The following is a 19,698-nucleotide window of genomic DNA, read 5'->3' on the forward strand; positions in this document are numbered from 1 at the left end:
GAGCCCAGGAGTTCCAGATACCAGCCTGGGCAACATGGTGAGTGAGACCCCGTCTTCACAAAAAAATACAAAAATGAGCTGTGCCCACATGGTGGCATGTGCCTGTAGTCCCAGCTACTTGGGAGGCTGAGGTGGGAGGATAGCTTGAGCCCAGGAGGTGGCAGTTGTAGTGAGCCAAGATCGTGCCACTGCACTCCAGCCTGGGTGACAAAGTGAGATGCTGCCTCAAAAAAAAAAAAAATTGGCCAGCACGGTGGGTCGTGCCTGTAATCCCAGCCCTTTGGGAGGCCAAGGCGGATGGATCACTTGAGGTCTGAAGTTCGAGACCAACCTGCCCAACATGGTGAAACCCCATCTCTGCTAAAAATACAAAAATTAGCCATACATGGTGGCATGTGCCTGTAGTCTCAGCTACTCAGGAGGCTGAGGTGGGAGGATGGCTTGAGCCCAGGAGGTGGCGGTTGTAGTGAGCCAAGATCGTGCCACTGCACTCAAGCCTGGGTGACAGAGTGAGAAATTATCTCGAAAATAAATAAATAAATATAACAAGATTTCTCAAAGATTAACAAGAATCCAACTAACGTAACTGAACACTTAGCTCTGGCTAAGTACATACACCCAGCTACCACTCATGGCCAAACACTGTGACATGATTCACCTGCATTATCTCATTTTATCTTCCGAGCAACATTATGAGTATAATGTTACCTCACTGTAGAAATCAGGCAACTAAATTAAGGTTCAGGAAGTTCACACACAGTGAGCGACAAAGCAGGGAGAACTGCTTTGCTAAGGGTGGGCTGCTTCCAACACCTGTGCCCCTCCCCAAACGGTGCCTTACCTGGTGGATTCAAATGTATTAACTATGCCCTCTCTTACTTTTTCTTGCCCTCTGTCATAAACTTTTATAAGCGTGCATGCCACATCTCTCCTGCAATTCCCTATATGATCCGACAAGTTTTCAAATAAATGGGGACTGTCAGTCAATCTCAAATACCGTAGTGCCTGCTCAATGCCAAGGATGCGTCAGGTGCTACAAAGGGGTCCAAACAAAAGACGGATCTGTAAAGCAGAGGACGAAACAGCCAGGTAGTGACCCCTAATAAAACATGATAAGGACAACACACGATGCAGGGGCAGATACTCCCTGTGTGCACACAAAGCAACTGGGGAGCCTGGCACAATGCGAATCTGGGTCCAGCAGGCCTGGGTAGGGCCAGAGATGCTGTGCTTCTAACAAGCTCCTGGGCCAAGCCCATGCTGCTGACCAACAGGAGCTAAAGTGCTTCCAGAGACTCCCTGGGGTGGTCTAGAAAGGGAGAGATGTGATCAGAAACAGCCTGTAGAGGACTAAGTAGAATCTGGAGAAGTGTGGGCAGTGTGTCATCAGGAAGAGAGGAAACAGTGTTTCAGAAGGAGGGAAAAACTCAGGCAAGGAAGAAGCACAAATGCACAGGTCATTCACAGGGTACAGCTGTCTATTTTTTTTTTTGGAGACAAGAGTCTCGCTCTGTTACCCAGGCTGGAATGCAGTGGCGCTATCTTGGCTCACTGCAACCTCCACCTCCTAGGTTCAGGCGATTCTTGTACCTTGGCCTCTCAAGCAGCTGGGATTACAGGCGCCTGCCACCACATCTGGCGTTTTGTTTTTGTTTTTTTTTTTTTTTTTTTTTTTGAGACGAAGTTTCACTCTTGTTGCCCAGGCTGGAGCGCAATTGATCCTGGTTCACTGCAACCTCCGCCTCCTGGGTTCAAGCAATTCTCCAGCCTCAGCCTCCCAAGTAGCTGGGACTACAGGTGCCCACCACCACACCCAGCTAATTTTATTTTTCGTAGAGACAGGGTTTCACTATGTTTGCCAGGCTGGTCTTGAACTCCTGACCTCAAGTGATCCTCCCGCCTCGACCTCCCAAAGTGCTGGGATTACAGGCGTGAGCCACTGCGCCCGGCCAGCTGTCCATTTTAAAACACATAACAGCACTCCTAAACTGCACCACTCGGTTGCCAGGACTTACAGGACAACTCCCTTTGAAGAGAGTCTTACTGACTGGCTTGAGAATGAGTTCGGGGGAGGGAACGACTGCTGTTGCTGATCTGAAGAAGAGTCACACTCACGACAGATGTCTTGCGGAGGGCAGACCCACCAACGCCACTACTTGGAAAGACTCAGAGGCTAAAGCCATGAACTCTGGCACACCACAGCCTCTCGCCAAAGAATGCTTCATGAGACATTTTTAAATACCCACCATCCCATAAAGAACAGGAAAGGAAATCCCACTGTCAGCCCCACCCTGATCCCACTGTCAGCCCCACCCTGGGCCAGTCTCCTACCACGGGTCTTCCGGGAGAAGGGCCAAAGCACTGCTCTCTCCAACTGGGCATCTGGTGATGTGGCCTGGCTTCCTGGCTGGGCCACTTCCTCCACTGTCTCAAAGTGGCACTGCCCTTACTCAACAAGTTCCTCCACAGCCAGAAATGAATGCCCAGACTGTAAGGAAAGGTCACCCGCAACCCTGCAGTGTGCCCACTGTGAATAGGCAGGGTGGTACAGCCGGGAGCACTGGATTAGGATCAGGAGACAGGGATCTGGACCCGGGGTCCGTCATTCAGTGAGCCACACAACCTCTCCACGTCCATCTTCATGCTTACAAAATGCAAACTATGACCCAAGCTCCATCTACCTTACTATTGTCGGTGAAATTCAGCAATGGAAAGTACTTCACACACTGGCAAGTATCATAAAGGGTCTGAGAGATAAGAGCCCCTGTGTGACGCATGACACACTCTGCTGCTGTTCGGATCTAGTATTCATTATCCCTGCTTCGCCAAAGGAAAAACTCAGGGCACAGAGAACAAACATGACCTTGTTCAGGTCAAACACCAAATCCATGACTGCTGAGGAATAAAATGACTGCTCAGGGTTGCCATGAAATCAAACAGTCTTCCATTATGGAATAACTAGAGAATTATCTATTAACTACTTGCCTCTAGAAAACCAGTGTTTAAAATTTCTTTCTTTTTTTTTTTTTGAGACAGGGTCTCGCTCAGGCATCCAAGCTTGAGTGCAGTGGCGCGATCTTGGCTCACTGTAACTTCTGCCTCCCAGGCTCAAGGGATTCTCCTGCCTTGGCCCCCTGAGTAGCTGGGATTACAGGCGCCCGCCACCACACCCGGTTAATTTTTGTATTTTCAGTAGAGACAGGGTTTCCCCATGTTGGCCAGGCTGGTCTCGAACTCCTGGCCTCAAGTGATCCGCCCGCCTCGGCCTCCCAAAGTGCTGGGATTACAGGCGTGAGCGACTGTGCCGGGCGTAAAATTTCTTAAAAGTGCCCCACAAGAGCCAAATCACTTAGAACTCAAGGGCTGCTATGTGATGCATGAACACCCAGGGTGGAATGAACTGCAAGGATGGGAACGGGACTGCAGCACTGGCTCCATGCTTACTGGACCACCCATCCTGGGAAAGGATTTGGTTTCCTTTTCTGTACAAAGACAGGACTGGACTAAGTGATTCAACCCTTTGTTAGCAGCCTATCCCTAACACCTAGAACAAGTAAGCACTGTTCTAAGTAGGGGCAGGTGCCCCCAACCTCCCCATCACCCCACTCTCCTCGCCAGACCCCTCCAACACAACCTTGTGTTTTCATTTCCTTGAGAAACCTCCAAGGAAATCCGCAGCATCCAGCCCACGGGCCTGTGTGTGGCATCTCAGTAGCCTGGCTCCACCCCACCCTGCTCTCCCAGCCTCACCCTCGCTACAGGCCTGGAGTTGAGGAGGCCGAACTAAGTCAACCTGGGTCCACCATGTGGGGAGAAGTGGAAACAGAAAGAGAGAAGAGGCTCAGGAAGCAGCCAATCACACACTATAAAACACAAAGCAGCCAACCAAAAGCTATAAAACAAACACCAAGCAGCCAATCACGCGCTATAAAATACCAAGCAGCTAATCATAAGCCATCTGAGCTCCCAAGGCCTGCTGCCAAGGCAGGGGGTGGAGAGGTCCACACAGGCGGGGCGTCAGAGAGGCCACTGAGTGCAACCCAGGTGCCAGTTCTGCAGGATCTGCCTGATGAGGAAAAGGCTGGTCTATGCATGAGGTACTGGAAAGAACACTGGGACTTGGAGCCTCGGTTCGATCCCAGCTCTGTCCATGTGGCTCTGGGGGAGTTCTTAACCTCTCTGTTTCCTTTTCGGGCAAAAGAAGACAACACCCACCTCAGAGCACGGTTGTAACATATGTAAAATGCCTTTTACCGCGCCTGACTCGGAGCAGCTATCCAACAAAGGCTGGAGACGACCACAACAGCAACTCTGCCTCCCATCCCTGACATCGGGAAAGTGACGGCAACTTCAACCAAAATCCTCTGCCCAGCAGGGCTCAGGAGCATAAGGTGTGCACAGCCACTCCAGCCCTGCACACGCAGTTTGCAGCGGGAAGCACTCCCATATCTTTCCTCGATCAGAGTGAGGCATCTCTCTCTAGGTCCCTGAATCTGATCTGAAAGCAGACAGTAACATTCAGCCAAGCTTTCTTTACCTGTAGGGCCTGAACCAGACTCCATAGGAAAAATAATAAATTACCCCACTAAAATAAATTGAACACAAGAACCTCTCTGAAACCAGTCCTAAGGTCAGCTCCCAGCTAATGGATGATCGCACGCCCTTTACTCCTTCCCACCTCTGAAACAACTTCCGGGCAGTGGGGGTGGGCAATGCAATTTGATGTGAGCCAGGAGAACCCTTCCCTGGGAAGATGGGACACGATCTGTACAGAAAGGTCATGTTAAGGCCTGGGGGAATGTCCAAGCCCCCTAGAAGGTACTCTACCTTGGCTGTCCTGCTGTCTGGACATGATCTCTCTGGGACATGGGGGCTATAGGGGACATCAGGGCGGGGGACATCAATACCCCAAGGTCCAACAGACAAGAAACTCCTTGCTCTAGTGTTTGAGAAAAGGAAGACTGGCCGGGTGTGGTGGCTCACGCCTGTAATCCCAGCATTTTGGGAGGCCTAGGTGGGCAGATCACCTGAGGTCAGGAGTTTGAGACCAGCCTGACCAACAAGGTGAAACCCCGTCTTTACTAAAAATACAAAAATTAGCTGAACGCAGTGGTGCGTACCTGTAATCCTAGCTATTTGAGAGGCTGAGGCAGGAGAACTGCCTGGACCTAGGAGGGGGAGGTTGCAGTGAGCCGAGATCACACCACTGCATTCCAGCCCAGGTGACAGAGTAAGACTCCATCTCAAAAAAAAAAAAAAAAAAAAAAAAAAAAAAAAAAAAAGAAAAGAAAAAGAAAAAGAAAAGGAAGAGTTTATTTCAAGAAAAGAAACGGCATTCTGGGGAAGCAGTGTGACATTTATATGAAATATATGAGGTGAGAGAGATGTAATACGGGAAACTATGAAAGAAGGTGGGAAACTCCCCCTGCTAGAATAGAGGTTCCACGAGTATAGAAACTTTTATTGTCTGGCTTACTGTTATCATCCTTAGCGCCTAGAACCTGTTAAAGAAAAAATTATTTGGTGCTACTTACGAGAATACAGTAAGGAAGCACCACTATGATAGGTGCAGGGACCATCGCATTGGGGACCTGTAGTGGGGGACAGAGATCAGGTTCAACTCCTAACACTGCATGGACAAGTGGGAATTCAGAGCCAAGGAGCAGGTGGGGTCAGTGCATGAAAAATCACCAAGAGGAACATCAGGGGGAAGGAGATTCTGGCTCAGCCAACCTAACAGGATTCTTGCTGAAGACGGGCCAGGGTGATCAGACATCACCTGGGGCATGGGGAGGGTAGGGAATGGATCAGATATAGAAAATGAGGGTTTCTGGCTAAACCAACTCAGCAATGTTCTTTGCTAAAACTGGATTTTCCAAGGAAGTACATAGATGGGCCTAGCAAAAGATTCAAAAGGCTGGCTAATGTTTAGCCAGGCAAACGTTAAACCATGCCTGGAACACCATGGACACTCCAACACTTGATGAACAAACAGAGCAGCAGAATCTCAGTGTGGTTAAGGGCAGAGGCAAGTGAGTCAAACAAACTGGATTCAAGTCTTTTCCTTTTTTTTTTTTTTGAGACGGAATCTCGCTCTGTCGCCCAGGCTGGAGTGTAGTGGTGCGATCTCAGCTCACAGCAACCTCGCCCTCCCGGGTTCAAGCAATTTCTGGGATTACAGGCGGACACCACCACGCCCAGCTAATTTTTGTATTTTTAGTAGAGACGCTGTTTCACCATGTTGGCTAGGCTGGTCTCAAACTCCTGACCTCAAGTGATCCTCCCACCTCGGCCTCGCAAAATGCTGGGATTACAGGCGTGAGCCACTGCACCCAGCTTCAAGTCTTTTTTTAACTACTTACTAGCTGTGTGACTTTAATCAAGTTATTCAGCCTCTCTGATACTTAATACCCATATAGCAGGATTCTTGTTAAGGATTAAATGACAATGCATTTAGCCACTGAGAATGTCCAGCACACAGCAAGCTCTCAGTAAATGGTGGCTATTCACTGTGATCACCTCCTTTCTCCTGCTTCACTCCTTCAAAATCTCCCTGGTTTAGGGTAGAAGAGGAAAGCAGGCACCATAAAGAATGCAAGGATCTGTCCAGGAGAGACACTGCAGCCTGTTCCATCCTAACCCTCCACAACAGGTGTGTGTCTGCCCTGCCCCAACACCCGCTCTTACCCATCTGTTCCAGTAAAATCCATGCTCCTCCATCCCACTCTCCACAGGGAACCTTCCTCATGTCCTCCCCCTCAGGAGGGGATGTAGCTATCAGTAGGCTGAGGAATGGGCCGTACTTAGCCAAGGCCTTGGAGGAAGCTGTGTGTGGCAGGGGAAGCAGACTGCATCCAGAGAGAGCCCTGGCTGAGAACCACTGAAAAGCCAAGAGATGCCTACACTCACTCACACACTTATTCCCACCTTCCAACATCCCATAATATCCTCATTTAATTCTTACAAATTAACACTTTCTCAAGCCGATCCTTGGAGCAGCATTTTCTAAGATGAACCCCACATTTCTTCTACCAGCTGCATTTGCTATGCACCTCAATATGTCAGTGACAATTTCCTGGACAACTTCCAGCCTAGAGTGGGAGGTGGAAATAGATCTCATGCCTGAGAAGCCCCAGCCAGCATCACAGAACTGCTGAGGATTGGACCGGGAAAAGATCTGAGAGATCTCCGACTCCCCACTCAGCTGCATGTTTGCTCCAGCTTTCCTAAGGACTTGAATCCACAGAGATTTTAGGAATTTCAGATTTTTAGTCATAAACCAAAATCTTCGACCATTAAACGGTGTTTATGAATGTTTATGAGCACAAGGGAAGAAAATGTCCAGGAAGAGGGGCTCCTGAGAGAGTGTCCTCTGAAATTCCTGGTCTTATAGGAGAGGCAGCTGCAGAAGGGAGCTGCAGAGGGCACACACATGCCTGTGTCAGCGTCTCATGCCGACATCCACACTGGCTGAATCCAACATGTTCAAGGGTGCTGCATGCTCATCCAGAGCCCACTCCTCCGGGGCCCCACAGTGCTAAGCCATGGGGCTAGAAGGGCCACATGTCAAGATCACAACTTCCAAACAGACAGTTGCAGAAAGGGGATGGGGAGAAGAGCCCAGAAACACAGAGGCAGCAACCTCCCAGGTATGCCAAGCTTTGCACTGACACTGCTATGGTACCTACAGAAATCCATGCACTACCGGCCGGGCATGGTGGCTCACGGCTATAATCCCCGCACTTTGGGAGGCCGAGGCGGGCCTCCTGAGGTCAGGAGTTCGAGATCAGCCTGACAAACATGGAGAAACCCCGTCTCTACTAAAAATACAAAATTAGCCAGGTGTGGTGGTGCATGCCTGTAGTCCCAGCTACTTGGGAGGCTGAGGCAGGAGAATTGCTTGAACCTGGGAGGCAGAGGTTGCCGTGAGCCAAGATCACGCCATTGCACTCCAGCCTGGGCACAGCCGACTCCTGCACTGCGACTACGACTTAGCTCCGAGAAAAGAAGAGCAAAGGAGAGCTGCGAGGACAGCCAGCCTGTGTCTGGAGGGAGGACTGCTTACGTGCATACAGGGCAGGAAGAAGTGGACTCACATGAAGCAGAAGGTGCTCACGTGAGAGACACTACAGAGACGAAGTCAGACACCAACTGGAGAAAGATTTCCTTCTTAGTAACAGTACCCCAATCTTACTAGAGCCAGTGATGCACTCACTTACAAAACCGCATTTCTCAAACTTCCTTGAAGCTAGCTGTGACCATGTTTTCCAGGTTCTGGTTAATGAGATATAAGCAGAAGTGTGTGGGTCTTCCTGAAAGACTCCTTTAAAGGAGTCTCTCACATAGAAAAACATTTTGCCTTTCTTTACATTTCCTCCCTTTGGTGTTCTACCCAGAAAGAAAAGAAAGATGGCTGGAGCTCCGGCAGCCATGCTTTGTTATGAGGTAACCTTAAGGATGAGAAAGCTACGTGCCAGGGTAGTGGAGTTAGGTCAAATTGAACTCTCACCTGTCAATCCATAGAGTGGGCCACACAATCACCAGGCTTTAGCTGGCAAGTCCAGGTAGAAGGAACGAGACAAAATCCTGATGGCCATGCAGCTGGCTACACTGGCTCTGGGCTTCCCATCTCTAGGGTCCTTTTACATAAAAAGAAAATCTTCTTTCATGCTAAGCCACATTTTGCAATTTCCGACTGAAACTAATCTCATCTGATACAAAAATGTGAATAGAAAGCCTTCTTTACTGAGAGCCTGGGCTCGATGGCTCACGCCTATAATCCCAGCACTTTGGGAGGGAGGATCACTTGAGGCCAGGAATTCTAGACCAGTCTGGGCAACATGGCAAAATCCCATCTCTACTAAAAATACAAAACATTAGCTGGGCATGGTCGCGTGCGCCTGTAATCCCAGCTACTCAGGAGGCTGAGGCAGGAGAATCGCTTGAACCAGGAAGCAGAGGTTGCAGTGAGCTGAGATCAAGCCACTGCACTCCAACCTGGGCGACAAGAGTGAAACTATGTCAAAAAAAAAAAAAAAAAAAGAGAGAGAAAGAAAACGAGAGAGAGAGAGAGAGAGAATGAAAGAACGAAAGAAAGAAACTTTCTTTCTTTACTAAGAGAAGCTCTGAAGAAGATGAAATGGTACAGTCACAGGGAGCCTGGAGAGATCCCACCACGGCAGCCTGTCAAATGGTGCCTGCATATGGAAGACAGCTGTGGTGGCTGGAGTTTCTTAAGCGGCAAGCCCTGCTACTGAGAAAAGAGCAGAGCTTTCCTCGTGGAGTTAGACCAAGGAAGATTCATCCCAAAAAACCTAAAAATTCCACATTACCCATAACTGAAATCTTAGGAAAAACTGACCCAATGAGTTGGCATAACACGATCTCTTTAGTGGACCCCAGATGATATAAACCTGTAGATTTTTCTCAACAATTAAAATAACGTGGACCCCATTACAATTAACCTATGACACTTTTTGGATAGCTTATCTTCTACTACCTCCTGCAGAAAAATCCTCCCTATACAGAACTCAACAAATCTCCAATTCCTCTGTCCATTACCTCATTGGCCAATACTCACCCTTGCTAGGGCCACTTTGGGTCCTCAGGCCACGTTGTTATTTGTGTTCTGTTCCCTAAAAACCGTCAGAGAGACTGAGTTGAACGCACTCCACACACTGATGATGATGGCAGATGGCCAGAGGCAGTTACGGAAGAAAGAAAAGACAGTGGGGTCACAGCTCAGCTCTGCCTTCCTGCTAAGGTGTCTCCTGCATCGGCCTTGGGCCTCAGCTGCACCCCATCCTCACCCTCATCCCCCGTTAAAGCTAGAAAACTGGCTCCCCTACCCCAAAAACCAGAGGGAGCCCTCGACAGGGCAAGCTGAATCATCCGCCCATGGAGTGGACCATAGCACCAACACACAGTAGCCAGCAGGGCCAGAACTGACCACAAGAAGTGGGCTGAAGCAGGGCAGCCTGGTCTCAGGGCCTGTTGTTTTTGAGTTGTTGGGTTTTTTTATTTTTTTTTTCTTTTGAGACAGAGTTTCGCTCTTGTTGCCCAGGCCAGAGTGCAATGGCGTGATCTCAGCTCACTGCAACCTCCACCTCCCGGGTTCAGGTGATTCACCTGCCTCAGCCTCCTGAGTAGCTGAGATTAGAGGCGTCCGCCACCACACCCAGCTAATTTTTTTGTATTTTTAGTAAAGACAGGGTTTCATCATGTTGGCCAAGCTGGTCTTGAAGTCCTGACCTCAGGTGATCTGCTCGCCTCGGCCTCGCAAAGTGCTGGGATTACAGGCATAAGCCACTGCGCCGGGCCTGGGGTTTTTTTTTTTTTTTTTTTTTTTGAGATGGAGTCTCGCTCTGTTGCCCAGGCTGAAGTGCAGTGGCGCAATCTCGGCTCACTACAAGCTCCGCCTCCCGGGTTCACGCCATTCTCCTGCCTCAGCCTCCCGAGTAGCTGAGACTGCAGGCGCCCACCACCACGCCCGGCTAATTTTTTGCATTTTTAGTAGAGATGGGGTTTCACTGTGTTAGCCAGGATGGTCTCGATCTCCTGACCTTGTGATCCACCCACCTCAGGCTCCCAAAGTGCTGGGATTACAGGTGTGAGCCACCGTGCCCAGCCATCGGCCTGGGTTTTTTTGAAACAGAGTCTCGCTCTGTCACCCAGGCTGGAGTGCAGTGGCGCAATCTTGGTTCACTGCAACCTCTGACCCACAGGTTCAAGCGATTCTCCTGCCTCAGCCTCCCGAGTAGCTGGGATTACAGGCACCTGCCACCAGGCCCGGCTAATTTTTGTATTTTTAGTAGAGACACGGTTTCACCATGTTGGCCAGGCTGGTCTCAAACTCCTGACCTCAGGTGATCTGCCTGCCTTAGCCTCCCAAAGTGCTGGGATTACAGGCATGAGCCACCACACCTCAGGGCCTGTTTTATATGGAGTATGTTCTAAACGCAGCCAGCACCAGTGGAGGTTTACAAAGATGACTGCCTACGTGTGGAAAATGGTGGGGTTGAGTGGGTCAGGACTGTTTTTGTTAGTAAAGAATTAAGTAGGTTAGGGAAATAGATAGCTCTCCCTGCCCATAAGAACAGAATCCTTCTGGGACAGAAAAATAAAGGCAAATAAAGGGGGGAAAAACATGGAAAGGGTACAGAAAAAAAAAATTAACTGGATGGAAGACAGACCTTATAAGGCAAGGCTGAAGGAACTGAACTCATTTGACATGGACGAAAAGCTCATGATACCTTCCCTACCTTCAAGACTCAATGGCATCCCAATGCCTAGGAGTGCACTCTGTAAGCAAAGAGCACTTAACGTCTGTGGATAAACTGATGAGCAAAAGGAGGCTTCTCTCTCAGCCTCATGGGGACACAGGAAGAGAAGGTGTGCACAGAAAGCAGCACCACAGTTCCCGGAAGGCATCTTCCCTCCAGGCTGAGCGCGGCTGTGGCTCCCTGCCCCAGCATGGCTAGCTCACTCCCATTCCTACAGTAGCTTCCGCATCTCTTCATGGGTGCTGTTCTCACTACACTGTTGCTACGGGCTCCGTGCTAGGCAGTGAGCTCACTGGGGGTCAGCGATTCATGTCCTCTTCCCCTGTGTGTATGTAGGCCTCTGTGTACATGCGTGTGCATGTGTCCTGAAGCCTGGTCCTAGGACATAATGGATGCAGAATAAATGAAGTCAGCAAATATTTACTGTTCACTCTATGTGCCAGGCACTGAAGGCAGAAGAGTGAACAAAACAAAAATTCCTGTCCTCATGGAGCTTCGTTCTAGTGAGGGGACAGGTACCACACATGCGAACCCAGCATATGGGAAGGAAACATGCACCCTGGAACACCCCGCCCAGGAGTGTGTGTGGGAAGGAGACTCCAGGAGCTCTGCGAACTGTTCTGGAACTGGACCTGTTCAGGATTGGCAAGGGGCTCCGGGAACAGATCCTGTGGGTGTGAGACTGTGTCCCCGTCCGCTTAGGGAAGGACCATGGGGGTGAGAGGGTGGGGGGAAGGAGGCAGATTTGGAAACAGACACCCGCCCCGGGGTCAGATTTGACCCAGGGGGGCCCGCAAAGTGGGGAAGGAGGAGAGGAAGCACTAAGCTGTGCCAGGGAGATTCTGAGGCGAGCAGGAGCAGAGCAAGGACCGAAGGAGCCAGCACGGGGTCACTGGGAGTCCTCCAGGCATGGAAAGAGCACGAGCTCAGCAGGAGGTGCTGGGTCATGAGGTGAGCAGGGCAACGAGACGGTGCGGGACCTGGTAGGCCACCTGGCAGCTTTGGCATTGACTGGGGTGCGAGGGGAACCACTGCAGGAGTCTGAGCAGGGAAGAATGACATCGCTACCGTGTGTTACCAGGGGCTCCTGGTTGCCAGCTGCCAGCACACCTAGGGACACCAGGGTGGGCATAGGGAAGCCAATCTGGAAGTGCCTGCAAAAATCCAGAGGATGGCTGGCGGTGGCCTGGCCTAGGAGTCAGTGTAGGTTGTAATGAGAAGCCAAACATGAAGGCAGGGCTCACAGGACCTGCTAATGGCTAAAACATGAGGTGTGAGAACCAGAAAGAAATGCAAAGATTTCTGGTCTGAGAACTGAAGAGATAATGAAAAAGAAGCTAACAAAAGCACAAACATAAATCTCCTTCCCGCTGGGTCCTACTAGAGGCAGCAGAAAGGATTGAATAACCCGCGGCCATTCTCACTGGGGGAGCGTCAGCCCCGGGCAACAGACACCTAGTGGAGGCCCCTTCCCCCTCAGATCTGACCAGGAGGGCATCAGTCTCCAAATCTGCCTCCTTCCCCCCACCCTCTCACCCCCATGGTCCTTCCCTAAGCGAAGGGGCACATAGTCTCACACCCATGGGATCTGCTCCCAGAGCCCCTTGCCAAGCCTGAACAGGTCCAGAACAGCTTTGCAGAGCTCCTGGAGTCCCCTTCCCACACACACTCCTGGGTGCCACTTCAGGAAGCAATCATATCTCCAACATGGCAGGAGGTGGCCCAGACTTGGGGTGTGGGTGGGAGAACAAGGCCTGCACCCCTAACCGACTCTGGGGCTGGGCCTGCCCTTAGCCATTCTAGAGTTAGCGCCCCTTCCAAGGCAGGCCCACCCCACCCCAACCCTGCTGCTGCCACCAGTGCCACGGCCTGCCTGCCTCCAGTTGCTCCTCTTCACCACCACCTCACCTTCCAATGGGCAAGTGGCGGGGCTGTGCAGTATCACAAGATCAGCCTTTGAAAATATCTGTTTGGGGTTTCCTTTCCTAGGCAAATCCATACAACCTATTCCCTAAACATTCAAACTAAGACAGACTATAGGACTTACAGAAAAATGGGTTCAAAATGAGGCAAAGATAGGAAAGTGCTTCTTACAGATAATTTTCAAGGCCAGTGACTGGAGAGAGGGGTAGGTCTGTCAATCGAGTGCTTGCTGACTGCACATATCACATGGCGTGTGACGACTGCTGGGAGAGGAAAGCGAGACATCATTCCAACCCTCCAGAAGCTAAAGATCCTGGAACTCAAGGGGAAAACTAACGTAAGTGCGAAAGCGAACAAGCAAACATGTCCTCAACTGGGCAGGCAGGCTGTCGGGGTACAGAGCTGGGATCTGGGAAGGAACAGAGAGGGCCGCTCAGGGAGAGGAAGCACAGTGCCACCGGAGGCACGCACTCAGCAGGCACTCGCAGGCTGGGCAGAGGTAGAGAAGCAGCGCTGCACAGGCAGGCAGCTGACCCAGGGCTCTTAGAGCCGGGCAGGAGAGCTGGTGTGGGACCTGGGAGGAGGACAGGAGCCTTCAAAGCAGCACCGCCTGATTGCAGCCAGGAGGGTAGCATCAAGGAAGATGGAACTGCGGCCAGGCCACATCCAGGGGTGCTCGAGCACAAGAAAAAAGGGGATGGGTTAGAACTGCAGCAGTGGGAACCAGAATTTAAAAAGGGAAAATTATTCGACAAATTTGGAGCACTAACTATGGCAGGTGTAGTTTTAGGTGCTAGGAATAAGCAATTTCCAAGGACCCTTTGAACAGAAATGAAGCAAATGAGCTACACAGGGCGGCATAAAAACCAGCTGCTGGTGTTACTCCCTTCTTATCTGTATCCTGTGAAAGGGCAGGAAGGTGACAAACACTTGTTTTTCTGTAGGTGCCCAGGTTGGTTTTGAACTCCTGGCCTCAAGGGATCCTCCTGCCTTAGCCTCAGGAGCACACCACCATGCCCAGCTAAATTTTTTTTTAAAAAATTTTAGAGACAGGGTCTCACTATGTTGCCCAGGCAGTCACGAACTCCTACCTTCAAGCAATCTTCCTGCCTCAGCCTCCCAAAGTGCTGAGATTAGAGGTGTGAGCCACCACACCTAGCCAGCGAGAAACACTTCTATTCCAATCAATAATTTAACTTCAGCTACAACCTTCCTAGACACAGATTTACTTACTTATTTTTGAAACGGGTCTCACTCTGTCGCCCAGACTGTAGTGCAGTGGGGTGATCTCAGCTCGCTGCACCCGCCGCCTCCCAGGCTCAAGTGGTCCTCCCACCTCAGCCTCCCAAGTAGCTGGGACTACAGGCATGTGTCATCACGCCTGGCTAATTTCTGTATTTTTGTAGAGACAGGGTTTCAACATGTTGCCCAAGCTGGACACAGGATGTTTAAAGGAAGACTGTTAGGGACACCCATGGCGTGAGATGAAATGACAGCCATCTCCATTCTTTAATGACAATGATTTTGCTCCCCTTGCCTTCACATAAATGCGGGCTAAGGACCTGACAGTCCCTATCTCCCAAGCACTGACGCAGGAGAGCTGTGAACACGTGATGGGCCTCCGTCGCCGGTTCCTTACCCTGCCACGGCCAAGCGCCATCCTGCCTCCATGCAACCCCAAGGAGAGGAGGGCAGTGAGCATCTCTGACACCCCTTGGCACTGAGGTGAGACTCTTCCTGTGAGCCCGCACCCCATCAACGTGCTCCATAAGCCATAGGAGTCACCACAAACTTCGCAAGTGGATAATAGTCAGGCCTCACTGAAGACACAGCTACCCATGCTGATCCAGCCAGGAGGGTCGCTTCTGTGTCTCCTCCTACTCCACACCCACATGAATCCCACAGGCCGATCATTGCCTTGCAAGGTAAGATGCCCTGGTGCAGACAAGGAGCCGCTTTACCCATCAGGCTACCAGCTGAGGGTCAAATAGGCACAAGGTCGTGGGGACATATTTTAAGGACGTGGTCCCTACTCTTGCTGCATTTATAATACACAGTACAATCTGAGACCCTCGCAAATTTTGTAACACAATGGCAATAACAACCATTATTGGTTACCAACTAATTGGTACCATTAAGGTAATAACAGAGAGACTTCCTTCTGGGCCTTCCCCAAAGGCAGACAAAGGTTGGTTTGCTTCCTAATCTCAGTCTCCAGGACATTACAAACAAAGGATTCAAAATGGTGTTACTACTGGAGCTGGAATTCCGTGTTCTAACAAGAATGAAGAAAAGAGCCAATCAAGACCCAAAAAATCTGCCTCTCCTCAGCTCAAGAGGAAGAAGGCCAGCCTGCTGTTGCCCTCTGTCCCTGCATTCCACAGCACCAGGCTCTTCCCTCACATCCCTCTCCTCACATTCTTACCTTATATGATTGAGGCCAAATATGCAAAGCCCCGTCTCCCAGCCATGTACACAGTAGCTGCTGGCTGAGGACACTGCTGCCAACGCCACAGGCCCCAGCGAACAGCCCTGACTCTTATGTGATGATCTGCTTTTGGGTCCTGTCACTATCTGCGCACACAGCACACGTCCACATGTATCACTGACCAACCCTAACAGGGCAAGGGTGGGGATGTCAGAGATTAGCTCCACAGGACTTGGACCCTACGTGAAGATTAAAAATTTAAAATCAAACTCGGGCATTTCTGCCATCTGTAACCCACCTCCACACTAGAACCCTCTGACAGAAAGTTTCTGTGAGTAGGGAAATCTGGTCCACAAATAAGCTGTCCCTTTAAAGATCTGCAGCAACTTAAAACCAGCTGGTTTCTGGTACAAGCCAGTCCTCAGAAAGTAACTCTCACTTCAACTACAGAGGATAAGGTCCAATGATTTTGAGTTTTGTTTTAAAAAACAAAGCAAAACAAAAACCCCGAATTGCTCAGCTGGGACACTGGCTGGTTCAGGAGGGCTGGGGGTTTTCAGAAGCAGCAGCCGCATGGCACTGCTGACCGTAAGCGCACTGCTAAACTGAAGCGCGGTGGAGGTCTGGGAAAAGGGGAAAGCAAACACTCCAAAACAGAAACGCCATCGCTGAAAGGGCACAGAGCAGGTGCGGGCCTGCCCCCAGGTGTCTCCCACTCCCTGCGGTAGGAAGTCCTCTGACAGAGGGAGGAAACTGGGCCAAAGGAAATCCATGCATCCGCTGCTCTCCTTTCCCTCCTTCCCCTTCTATTTAAAAAGAAGAGAGTTTGAGACCAGCCTGGGCAACACAGTGAGACCCCGTCTCCAAAAAAAAAAAAAAAAAAAAGGAAGGGAACTATTTCTGTGCCTGAGAATGGCTGTGCTTGCGAGAGTCCTTCTGTATCAGAAAGCAATGACTTTTTACAGGATTGCAATAATACCCGGAACCCCTAAAAGACCCTGGAACTGGCACAAGGGTGCCTATAATTTCAATGCTTAAGAGAGGTCCTGAAGGCATGTCACTAACACAATGATTAGAGACCATTTCTTACCACACATCAGAGAGTCTTCATGCTTTGGTCTCCTACCTTAGAGAAAGCACTGACTCCATTCATCCCAAGGACTGAAATAATGGTGCTGATGAAGATGAGGCCCCCAGGAATAACTGCAGCTATAGTGTATTCATCACTTACTACTGATATACTGATTGTCACTGTGAGTTAAGTATTTAATACAGCGATCAGCCTCATGTGATAGACAAGAAAAAGGAGACAGAGAGGCTACGTAACTTGCCCCAAGTCACACAGTAAGAGCTGACACCTGATCCCAGGAAGCCTGGAACCGTGAACACTAAGTAGCCTCTCTACTGATATCTGCTATCATCTTAATCCAGAAACCACCCTGTAAGTAGTTATAATTATCTGCAAGTTACAGATAAGGGGGAAAATAGAATTAAGAAAGGTCAGATCACTTGTCCAACTAGTAAGCTATAAAGCCAGGAGTCAAAAATCCAGGTCTCCAACCTCCACATTCTATGCCTTTTCACTACACTGCACTCGAGGGTGGTCTGACCAACCACCACGGGACCAACCACCGTGGGACTTCCATGTAGACAGCTGTTCCCAGGACCAGAAGAAATAATACTGGGCCACAGGGCACACAGGCAATGAAGAGTCAACACACATGAACTAGAGAGGAGTCGGAGGTAACTCCATGCCATGCAGGATCTGCCATCTGCTGCCAGCTTCATCATTCTCAGACAGAACCCTCATCCTGCCACATCCTGCTTGACAACCACACACGTTTCCTTATCATCCACTGCTTCATGCCTCCCATCGAATTTCCAGTCCCTGACTCTGGCCACCCAGCTTCATCCCACTTTCCCTGAGATAACTGCCCTCCAAAGTGGCCCCACAGCCTGTGGGCACATTCCACTCCCTCGGGCCTGGGTGTGGTTCCCCACACCTGAGCGCTCCTCCTCCCCTCTCCAGCCTTATTCCAGAACCCCGCAGAAGACCTGCCTTCTTCACAAAGCCTCCATCTCTTCTCGTCCTTTCTGAGCCCCTCCACCTCCTCACTCCTCTGCAGTTCCAAACAATTCAATCCTTATTCATATCCAGACAGTACTGTTTGCATTGTTTCTGTTTCTCCAATGGAAAATTCCTCAGGGGAAGAACCATGACCAATCCTCAGGAGATGAGGGTAGCAGAGGGCTTCAGAGCACAGGCTTGGGAGTTGGACTGAGATTAATCCTGACTCTGCCACACACTTGGCTGTCCAATTCCTAGTTAACTCCCCTGCCAATGGTGATAAAGACAGTACCAACTGTCTAGGGTATTTCTAGGAAGTAAACGACAGAATGCATTTCTAAAGCATCTTCCATGATACCTGGCAAAAATGGTCCATGAGTAATTATTTCAATGATTATGTATCTGCCCCCAGTGTAGCCTGAGCCTTGCTAAATGTGCAGCTGGAACTCAGGAAGCAGCTGCAATTAATTGACAGAAAATTATTGGAGGTTAGGGTTATCTGTAAGAACTAGACAAAGGAAGAAAAGTAAGAGGGAATTCAAGAAAGTGAAATAGCAGATGGGAATGGGTAGTGGAACAGGGGAAATAGGATCCAAGGACTAAGTCAAATCTGTAAGTACTTCCTGGGCACCCATGTGTGCACACACTCCATGGGACTGATCAAGGGTAGGTGAGACAGAGGTTCCATGGACAAGGGCCACCATCCAGCTAAGCAGTCAACCAACACGTGCTGAAAGAACAGAACACCTGTGGCACAGATGCAAATGAACAGGATGGCCAGCATCCCTGGTCTATCCTGGCATAACTACTCGTTTTCACCATCAGTGATTTTGTTATCTTTATGTGATAGAGGCTATTCCATACAACCTATTGGCTGAAAATAATGCCTAACAATAAAAAAGCTACTAAGAATTCAACATTTTCCCATGCATTTGTATTCTGTTCATCACAACGGCATCTACATACCCTGCAAAAAAAAGTAGAACACATATATTTAAGGCATTTACTCAAGCGACAATATTTGATGAATCTGCCCTATGGATTCACAGTCTTGGCCACTGGGCAGTGTACATGCAAACACACACACACACACACACACACACACACCCACACACACCCACTCATGCCTACAGCATGGGGATCCCACTGACAACAGCTCAGAAGAGAGGTAAAGGTTAAGGACAGGCTTCTAACAAATTCAGTTCAATACATTTAAGTACATATTATAATAAAAATGAGGACCAGGTGTGGTGGCTCACGCCTGTAATCCCAGCACTTTGGGAGGCCAAGATGGGAAGATCACTTGAGACCAGGAATTTGAGACCAGCCTGGGCAACACAGCGAAACCCCTTCTCTATTGTAAAAATGACTAAAAATTGGCTGGGCGTGGTGGCTCACGCCTGTAATCCCAGCACTTTGGGAGGCCGAGGTGGGCAGATCACTAGGTCAGGAGTTCGAGACCAGCCTGACCAACATGGTGAAACCCTGTCTACTAAAAATACAAAAATTAGCCAGGCGTGGTCACGCACACCTGTAATCCCAGCTACTCAGAAGCCTGAGGCAGGAGAATCGCTTGAACCTGGGAGGCGGAGGTTGCAGTGAGCCAAGGTTGCACCCTGTACTTCAGCCTGGATGACAGAGTGAGACTCCGTCTCAAAAAAAAAAAAGAGTAAAATTTAAAAATTAAATAAAAATAATTATTAAATGATGCTTGTAAAAGTAGGTAAATAGATGCAAGTTTCACGGAAGAAAGGGTGGATCTGAGGAGATCCTGAAGGATGAGACCAAGTCCAGCAGAGTGAAGAGGAAAGAGAGGAAATGGCGAGAATTCACATGAGCAAAGGGGGAATCAGATAGCGTGCCCAGTGCCGAGCCCTGCCTCTGTGGAAGCGTTGGGGGAGGGAGAAAAGCCTAGCAACCTTGCCAGAGCTCAGACCCGCCCTACTGAGGGGACACTCACAGGTGAGCAGGTGTTCACAGGTGAGGACACTCCACGG

The 19,698-nt window shown here is 49.8% G+C and overlaps 1 protein-coding gene across 1 annotated transcript in view, besides 4 other annotated features; it reads right to left on the reverse strand.

The window, feature by feature from the left end:
- Positions 1-19,698, reverse strand: part of MICAL3 (microtubule associated monooxygenase, calponin and LIM domain containing 3) — a 236,913-nt gene that overhangs the window by 161,037 nt on the left and 56,178 nt on the right. The window lies entirely within an intron of this gene.
- Positions 4,294-4,900: an enhancer, noted in NCBI's record as "H3K4me1 hESC enhancer chr22:18435745-18436351 (GRCh37/hg19 assembly coordinates)". NCBI's record gives its function as "activates a minimal SCP1, AML or CMV promoter by ChIP-STARR-seq in naive H9 embryonic stem cells {active_cell/tissue: H9 hESC(naive)}" and the evidence as "EXISTENCE:reporter gene assay evidence [ECO:0000049][PMID:30033119]".
- Positions 7,196-7,697: an enhancer, noted in NCBI's record as "H3K4me1 hESC enhancer chr22:18438647-18439148 (GRCh37/hg19 assembly coordinates)". NCBI's record gives its function as "activates a minimal SCP1, AML or CMV promoter by ChIP-STARR-seq in primed H9 embryonic stem cells {active_cell/tissue: H9 hESC(primed)}" and the evidence as "EXISTENCE:reporter gene assay evidence [ECO:0000049][PMID:30033119]".
- Positions 7,698-8,197: an enhancer, noted in NCBI's record as "H3K4me1 hESC enhancer chr22:18439149-18439648 (GRCh37/hg19 assembly coordinates)". NCBI's record gives its function as "activates a minimal SCP1, AML or CMV promoter by ChIP-STARR-seq in primed H9 embryonic stem cells {active_cell/tissue: H9 hESC(primed)}" and the evidence as "EXISTENCE:reporter gene assay evidence [ECO:0000049][PMID:30033119]".
- Positions 12,054-12,770: an enhancer, noted in NCBI's record as "NANOG-H3K27ac-H3K4me1 hESC enhancer chr22:18443505-18444221 (GRCh37/hg19 assembly coordinates)". NCBI's record gives its function as "activates a minimal SCP1, AML or CMV promoter by ChIP-STARR-seq in naive H9 embryonic stem cells {active_cell/tissue: H9 hESC(naive)}" and the evidence as "EXISTENCE:reporter gene assay evidence [ECO:0000049][PMID:30033119]".

Source organism: Homo sapiens, chromosome 22 (genome assembly GCF_000001405.40).
Source record: "Homo sapiens chromosome 22, GRCh38.p14 Primary Assembly".
NCBI classification, from domain to species: Eukaryota; Metazoa; Chordata; class Mammalia; order Primates; family Hominidae; genus Homo; species Homo sapiens.